Source organism: Homo sapiens, chromosome 20, assembly GCF_000001405.40.
Source record: "Homo sapiens chromosome 20, GRCh38.p14 Primary Assembly".
NCBI lineage: Eukaryota > Metazoa > Chordata > Mammalia > Primates > Hominidae > Homo > Homo sapiens.
The window spans coordinates 63,186,172-63,194,882 of record NC_000020.11 but is presented as its reverse complement, the minus strand read 5'-3'; the positions used below and the strand labels follow the sequence as shown (position 1 = coordinate 63,194,882).

At 57.6% G+C, this 8,711-nt stretch overlaps 1 annotated feature.

Moving 5' to 3' along the window:
* Positions 7,424-7,924: an enhancer, noted in NCBI's record as "H3K4me1 hESC enhancer chr20:61818311-61818811 (GRCh37/hg19 assembly coordinates)". NCBI's record gives its function as "activates a minimal SCP1, AML or CMV promoter by ChIP-STARR-seq in naive H9 embryonic stem cells {active_cell/tissue: H9 hESC(naive)}" and the evidence as "EXISTENCE:reporter gene assay evidence [ECO:0000049][PMID:30033119]".

Sequence of the window (8,711 nt, the reverse complement as noted above, 5' to 3'; positions counted from 1 at the left end):
AACAGAATTTTTAAGAGAATGCAATGCAAAATACAGAGTTCTTAATTTTTCCAGTTTTACATTTGAGGGGTAGGGAGGAAATGTTAATTCTTAAGAGTAGGATCTGCATATCCAGGTCCTTAATCCAAATACTCTGGAGCCTTCTCGGGACAGGGAACACCACATCTGCTTTTGAGAGCAGCCACGGTTGAGGAGGCTGGTGGTTATTCCAGTGCCCAGCAAAGTTTATTATTAACCGGAAGACACATTCAGTCCATTTTTAACAAAAGAGGAGGTTTCAGGTTAAATGGGTGTCCCGCCCGCTGGTTTTATTAGTTTGCATCTTGATAGATAAGGGGGCCAGATGAGGATGGCATCTTTCCCAGGCAGTCACCACCTCTGCCAGAAGTTAGTAGTTGGTTTAAGGAAACACAAAATGAGAACGGGAAAACGTGTCTGTTCTGACAGGCCAGTTAGAGGTAGGCTGTGTGCTCCCACCTGCAGCTCCAAATGCTGCTGTCATTTTAGGGAAGTGTGTTTTCAACCTCGAGTGGCTAATTCCTTCATTTTATGCCATTTTCTTGCTTGTATTCAAGTCCTGGCCTCCTTTAAAGATGAGTTCCCGGCTTTCAGAATGCTGAGCCGAGAGGTGCTGAAAGGTGGCAAGCATGACGACAGGTGCCATGCTTTATCTTTGTTGTTTCGTTGTTGTGGAAGAAGTGGATGCTGTTGTCCCCACAGAGTGGGAGGTGGTGGCAGGGACTCTGGCAAGTGGTAGTTGCTGACTGGCTTGTGAATGGATAGTGGATTGGGCGGTCTAGACAACACCTCCCCTGAGGCCTCCAAACCGGAGGAGGCAGTGGCTTCTCCTTCTGCCAACTTGGAAAGTTTTGTAGAACTGACACCGTGTCTGGGTGTTTGGGGCCTCCTGCCTGCATTCGTGGTGCATGGTAATGCCAGGCAAGGAGCCAGGCCTACCAGGGGAAGGGAGAACCGAAAGGCATAGGTTTGTGGAGTGAGAATTGGGGGGGCGGGGGAGGGATTTCATCTCATTTTGCTTTATAAAGAGCTGTAAGTTGTTAGTATTTCTCACACCTGCCTCCCTAAAAGCCAGCCACATGAGCCCTATTCCTTTTTCCCTCTTCCCCTCCCCAAAGCCCACCATGCTAGAATTCTCTTTTCTTTTTTTTTTTGAGATGGAGTTTTGCTCTTGTCACCCATGGTGGAGTGCTGGAGTGCAACCTCAGCTCAGTGTAACCTCCGCCTCCCGGTTTCAAGTGATTCTCCTGCCTTAGCCTCCCAGGTAGCTGGGATTACAGGCACGTGCCACCACACCCGGCTAATTTTTGTATTTTTAGTAGAGATGGGGTTTCACCATGTCGGCCAGGCTGATCTCGAACTCCTGACCTCAGGTAACCCACCCGTCTCGGCCTCCCAAAGTACTGGGATTACAGGCGTGAGCCCGTGCACCTGGCCTATGCTAGAATTCTTAAATGTCATAATAAATTGCAAGCTATTGGAAAAGCCTTCAGCTGGATTTACAGTTTGAGGTGCCTCTGCCTGTAGAAGTTTCCTTGGAGGGGCTGGGTGGTAGCTCAGGTGCAAGCCCAAGTGTGCTCTGGGCTTCTGGTGGGTTACAGGCTGGCTCTGCAGGTTGCTGTCTGCATTGGGTCTTAAATGGCCAGGCTAGGGGATGACATGGAGGAAACGTGTGGCCTGTGGTACTTTGGGCTGAATCCTGTCCCTCCAGGCCCCTCGCTGTCCAGAATTGTTGCAGTCTTTGGTAGGACAGAAATGCCCTCTCTGGCCGGAGACCAGCTGTAAGCCCAGGCCGGCTTCTGCTGTGATCTCACCATAGGAGGCCCGTGAGAAAGGAGTCCGCACCTTGGCTCCCAGCTTGGGGCAGCCCCGTTACTCTGTGACTTCAGTCACCAGACCACAACTCATGGCTTCCCTCAGTATCCGTCTCCATCCTGTGGACTCCACACAGTGTGGGCGAGGCATTGGTGGCCCGCCCTCCTCCCCGCGCATCCCCACGGCCGGCGCTCACGTTTCCCTGCAGCCTGGAGTTGCTCCATCACGTAACTGTGGCTAACTTTCGGGTGCACACATCTGGAGTTAAAAGAAGCGCCTGGGCCGGGCGCGGTGGCTCACGCTTGTAATCCCAGCACTTTGGGAGGCCAAGACAGGCGGATCACGAGGTCAGGAGATTGAGACCATCCTGGCTAACATGGTGAAACCCCCTCTCTACTAAAAATACAAAAATTTAGCCGGGCGTGGTGGTGGGCGCCTGTAGTCCCAGCTACTCGGGAGGCTGAGGCAGGGGAATGGCGTGAACCCGGGAGGCGGAGCTTGCAGTGAGCGGAGATCGTGCCACTGCACTCCAGCCTGGGTGACAGAGCGAGACTCCGTCTCAAAAAAAAAAATAAAAAAGAAGCGCCTCAGCCGGGCGCGGTGGGTCACGCCTGTAATCCCAGCACTTTGAGAGGCCAAGGTGGGCAGATCACGAGGTCAGGAGATCGAGACCATCCTGGCTAACACGGTGAAACCCCGTCTCTACTAAAAATACAAAAAATTAGCCGGATGTGTTGGCAGGCACCTGTAGTCCCAGCTACTCGGGAGGCTGAGGCAGGAGAATGGCATCAACCCGGGAGGCGGGGGTTGCAGTGACCCGAGATCATGCCACTGCACTCCAACCTGGGTGACAGAGCAAGGCTCTGTCTCAAAAAAAAAAAAAAAAAAAAAAAAGGCTCGCTTATTCCTTCATAGTGCTTAATGATAAGAAGAGAAAGCCGTGTGCGGTGGCTCACGCCTGTAATCCCTGCACTTTGGGAGGCCGAGGCGGGCGAATCACCTGAGGTCAGAAGTTTGAGACCAGCCTGACCAACATGGAGAAACCCCGTCTCTACTAAAATACAAAAAAATTAGCCGAGCGTGGTAACGCATACCTGTAATCCCAGCTACTTGGGAGGCTGAGGCAGGAGAATTTCTTGAACCAGGGAGGCAGAGGTTGCAGTGAGCTGAGATCGCGCCATGGCACTCCAGCCTGGGCAACAAGAGTGAAACTCCGTCTCAAAAAAAAAAGAAACAGCAAAAAAAAGCCCGGTTCAGAGGCTCCTCGAGCCACCAGGCTCCTCCCTGGAAGGTCTCTTCTCAAGAGTTCCTCCTTATGACTGAGAAGGATTATCTGGGAGGCGACCCTGGTGGAGGTGTGAGAGAGTGGCCTGCTTGCTGGTAAGTCACGGGGTATTCAGATGGTGAACAGCAGTCTAGGTTCCCTCCTTTCCTGGCAGCCGGCCACAGGCCTAGGTGTCTCATACGTTGTCACCAGCTGGACCAGGCGGAAGCGTCAGCGTTGGGCACGGGCCAGGCCTCGCCCTGCTGCGTCGCTCAGCTCGTGCAAGAGGGAGCTAGACTTGCCAAGCTAATCAGGCTTCAGGTGTCGGAATGAGCATCAGGACCAGGCCTCAACTCCAGTGAGTTCCAGGGGTGCCCACCAGACCTGCTGGCTTCCTGCTGTGGCCCAGGGCTGAGGCTCCTATCTCAGGACAGGTCTGCCACAGGGCCCCTTTGCCTTTGGGGAGTCCACACGGCCTGTGGGGTTGTTTGGGGCCAGCACCCTCCCTCCCGCAAGTGTCCTGGCCACCCAGAGTCAAAGAAGGACCAGCAACTGCTAATGTCTGGGCAGAGCTTGGGCACAGGGGCCTCCAGTGTATCCTGGACAGAGGCGCCTCTTGGGCACTCCTCCGAGCTCTGTGGCCGTGGAGAGGGCGAGCCGCCCGAAGTCGGTCCTAAGCTATGGGAAGCCATAGCCCAGCACTTGCCCGTCACGGGGCTCTGTGGATGGCAGCATGCTGACGCTCCTGGTGTCCTGCGGAGGGTGAGGCTCGGAGATTGCAGTGCTGCTTCCCGTGGGTGATGGCGGGGCTCCTATGGGCAGACGGGGAGCTCGGACACCGCAGCGCCACTGCTTGGTGCCAGGAGAAGCTGTGGGGTAGGAAGGGTCTCCTTCAGGGCCGAGGGCAGCCTTGACATGCTGCCACGGACAGGGCTGGGCCCCTGCAGGCTGGGCAGCCCCAGGGCAGCTTCCGAGGGGACGGGAGTGGAGTAGGTGGTGCACAGGTGATGAGGCCCTTGGCGGCTTTGGGCTTTGGCCACCACTTGTGAGACCAGGAAGAGTGTTGCCTCAGTCCTGTGGAACTGTCAGGCTTGGAAGAGGAGACTTTCTGTGGGTGGGCAGCAGCTGTTTCTCTGGAACAGCATCCCCCGCTTGGCCCTGTGGAGGGTCCAGGTTCTCTGGGACAGCGTCCCCCGCTTGGCCCTGTGGAGGCTCCAGGTTCTCTGGGACAGCGTCCCCCGCTTGGCCCTGTGGAGGCTCCAGGTTCTCTGGGACAGCGTCCCCCGCTTGGCCCTGTGGAGGGTCCAGGGCACAGGGGTGGGCAATGGTGTGCTTCGGGGTGAGAAGTGCCTGGGTTCGGTGTCCAGCCCAGACAGGAGGGGACGTCCAGAGCTGGTGTCATGGTTCCCCTGCCTCCCCCAAGTGCCGGCTTCTGCCGTGATGTTCTCATCACGGGAGGAGACCTCAAGGTGCAGTTTGCTGCTTGGGCTCGTCCAAGCTGGGCTAACGTAGCCCTAGCCTTCTCCAAAGATGGTGGCAGGTGGCAGGTGAGGTCATTCCTCAGTCTGGGTACAGGTGTGCAGGAGGGTGGCCTTGACGGGGCCTCAGAATACCAGGTCCCTAGGCCAACTTGCTCTGCCAGGCCTCAGGGATGGGATGGCCTCCCTTCCCCCTCCCCCTTATATTTTGGGAAGCTTGCTGCACCCTGGGGCTGGGCGTGAGCACCTGGAGGTGCAGGGACAAGCAGCAGCTTGGGGCTGGGGTGGGGGCACAGGTGTCTGTCTTCACTAGCTGGGGACACTGCATCCCTGCAGAGGAGCGGTGAGAGAGGGACTCTGGTCCCAACATCAAGAAGAGCTGCTTGAGGTGTATTCGAGGGGGTGGTATGGGGTGGTGGCTGGTGAGGTGACGGCATTCCTTTTTTAAAAAACTTACTTTGGAAATAAAGTCAAATATACAGAAAAATTGCAAGAGTAAGCATAGTATAGAGAATACTCTTCACCCAGATTCACTTATTGTTAATATTTTGATCCCTTTCCTTGATCATTTGGTTGCTGTGTATGTGTCTGCATGTGTATTGCATGTTTGTGCATGTACTGTGATGCTTATGTGCATGCGTGTATATGTGTAGATACATGTATGTATGCCCGTGTGTGTCTGTGTGAGAACGTGTGTGCAATTGTGTTTGCCTGTGTGTGCCCGTGTGGTGTGTGCACGTGTGTGCCTGTGTGTGTGCCTGTGTGGTATGTCTGTGGTGTGTTGTGCACAGGTGTGTGCCTGTGTGGTGTGTGTGCATGTGTGTCTGTGTGCCTGTGTGGTTTGTGTGCTGGGGTGGCATTTGTTTTGGGAGCCCTGGGCAAGAACAGGAGGATGCAAAGCCACTGCTCTCCACCCCTCTCCCCTGCCTACTGCAGAGGGTGACTCCTCCCTCCTCCTCCGCAGGTGCAAGCCCCTCAGCCTGGTGGGGTCTGGGTTCAGTGGGAGCCTCAGAAGTTGTCTGGCTTCTTCCTGCTGGGTCCCCTGGGGCTGGGCCCTCAACCACCTCTTCTGAGCTCTGGGCCATCCATCCTCCTGGCGATCATCCTCCTGGCGATCCATCCTCCTGTCACCAGCCCCCCTGCCGAGGTCCTCATCTCGAGTTGTTCTAGTTTGACAACTTAAAAGCCTCAACATCCCAAGTTGCAGGATGGGGAGACAATGGGGGGGTCACTGAGGTCGTGGCAAGGTCTGGAGGGGCCACACCAGTGGGGGACCCTTGTCATCACCAAGGAGAGCAGTCCCCAACTTGGGGGGGTTGTTCATGGAGAAGCCAGGCTGGTTGGGGGAAATGACGAGTCCAGCAGGTTTGGTTTTGCAGGTGGACCAGGCCGGGGGTGTGCTTGGGTGGAGGCTGGGCGGGGCCTCTGCCTGTGTACGAGGTTGGAGGGGTGTGGGCAGGGGGCAAGGGGTGCCAGGGCTGTGTGGAGCAGCCTGGCGGAGCAGGGAAGTGGGCCCCACTGTGGGAGCACGGTGCAGCAGACTGCAGGCCTGGGGACAGCCGGAGAGCTTTGGGATGTGGGTGTGGCCAGGAGCACGCTGGGATTTGCGCCCTGGAAGAGTAGCACCTGTGGAACGGTCCCACATGGGACAGTGGGTCCTAGAGGAGTCCCGGGAGGGGGTGTTTCTGTCCTGGGGGTGGTCGCTGTCCCAGGCACAAGCTCTCCTTTGTGGCTGGGGAAGCCCTGGGCAGTAGAGTCCGTGGAGTTGGAGGTGGGTTTCATCCCTGCAAGTGCACAGAGTAAAGGGAGTGCCTGCAGCCTGAGGCAGGAGTCCCAGGAACTGGGCCAGGACCACAGCCCCTTCTGCCTTCCTGAGAGGCACTGAGGGGCCCTGCCCCCTGGGGTCTGTGTAAGCCTAGGGTAGTCTCCTTGTCGTTTGTGAGACTGACCATCCCGGGTGGGAAGTCCTTCTGAGTGACAGCCATCCGTACCCCCTGCCCCACCCTCGGGAGACTGGCTTCTCCACACCCAGCACCTGCTGCAGATGGAGGTTCCACTTACGACAGGGCCCCTGTGCTTCGTGCCTGAGCCTGAGACGATCCCGCCGGAGGCCGATTTCCAGCCCCGCTCACCGGTGGATCGGTGAGTGGCTAGTGGCTGGGGCTCAGCCCCTTTTGGGGTCCTTCCACCTCCCCAGGGCTGATGTCTGGGTTTCTTTCCTCCCCCAGGAAAGGGCCCAGAGTGCAGGACCCTGGGCTGCATGAAGTACAGGCAGCACCATGGCCAGCATGGAGGCCCCCAGTCACTGAAAGTGCCTTTATGCAGCTCCAGCAGGGCCTCCCCAGTCTCCCCATCCCTAAATTCACTTGGAACCTGCAACTGAACCTTCTGGGGCTCTGGTCACTGGCTGCCTTCAAGGGAGTGGGGCCAGGGGACCAGGACTGACAGAACATGATCTGAGGCCAAGGACGGCTGGCCACGGCAGCTCAGAGGAGGAGGCTGGTGTGGACCGTATGTGTCCTGGAGCCTTTCCCAAGGAGGTGGGGGTGTGTGAGGGCCAGGCTGGAGGCTGCTGAGCCCTGGGGTGGGGCCTGAAGTCTGCAGTCTCCCCAACAAGCACAGTTGCTTGTTGTCCAACAGGCGGGGAGGCAGGTGGCAGGGTGATGGCAGACACAGCACTGGAGAGACTGCAGAGGCTGGGATGTGAGCCTACATCAGGGCAGGAGGTGAGAGGACTTTGGGGTGCAGGAGGTGGGGGTGGGGCAGGCACAGCACGGGAGAGAGAGCAGAGGCTGGGATGTGAGGCCACATCAAGTCAGGGCAGGGCAGGAGGTGAGGGGACTTTGGGGTTCAGGAGGCGGGAACAGCATTGGCAGCTGGGCACCTGTGTCTGAGGGTCAGGAGCAGGCGAGGGCATGGGGTTGTGGTCTGAGGGGGACTTGGTTAAGTGTGGCATTGAGGAGGCCAGGGGCTGGGGTAAGAGTGTCCAGAGAGACCTGGAGGGCAGGCCCAATCCCTGCCATGCCCAAGCCCCTCGGGGCTGGTCCTTCTCTCTGCCACTGCCCTGCTCCAAGCAGACCCCCATTTGCCCCCCACCTCTCTGTGAGCCAGGGGCAGGCAGCTCAGTCTTCTAGGGGACTTCCTGACACTCAGGGGCCTGGCCACAGGGTTCTGTTGACACATGCTTGTGCTACACAGTGGGTGGAGGCCCAGGGGACACAGGGTACTGGGAGGCAGGAATGTGTGTTGCCCGGAAGGCAAATTGTCCCACCTGGCCTTCCTGGGATGGAAGACATCCCTGAGGGTGTCTTGGCCCCAGGGCCATATGGGGAGCAGCTGATGTTGGGGGCTGACCACTCTGGGCCACACTCAGCCGGGGGTCCCTGCATGAGGCAGTGTAGAGCCTGCTCTGCTCTGCTCTTGCCCCCTCCACAGGTCCTCAGGCTGCTATCTGGGGAGGGATGCCACCAAGCAGATGTCAGAATGGGGTGGAGGAGGACCTGCCTGGCCTGGGAGGGTGGATCCTGGTTGGAGAAGGAGGTGGACTAGCCGCACCCGGTGACTAATCCCTGTCTGGCCTCTCCTTGCCAGTCACCACCCCTAGTGGCTGGTGAGGGACTTGAGAGTGGGGCGGCTTTGGGAAGTGGAGGCCAAGGGGAGCCCATGCCCCAGGAGTGCCAGAGCTTTGACGCACATGGTGGTCTCTGAGACAGACCAAGTTGGGACCTGAAGGATGAGTTGGGAAAGGGATGTGGGAGCATGAGAAGAGCCTTCCAGCCGGAACATCCTCATGGGCAAAGACTGCCAGGCAGGAGGGCCTGAGCATTCTGGGAGTCCGGAGGGCCCAGGGTGGTTCTTTCCTACCTTGGAGCTGCTCTCTGTACCTCAGCACTCCCCCACACACAAATGCACAGGTGCACACAAAAGCACACATACATGCATGAGCATCTGGGTGCACACAGGCACATACATGCACACATGTACAGAGAACATACAACAAACACGTGCATACAACACACATGCCTGTCATGGGCACACAGACACGTGTGATCATATGCCCTAACATGGGCGTGCACTGACACACGTGATCATGTGCCCTAACATGGGGATGCACCGACATGTATGATCATGTGTCC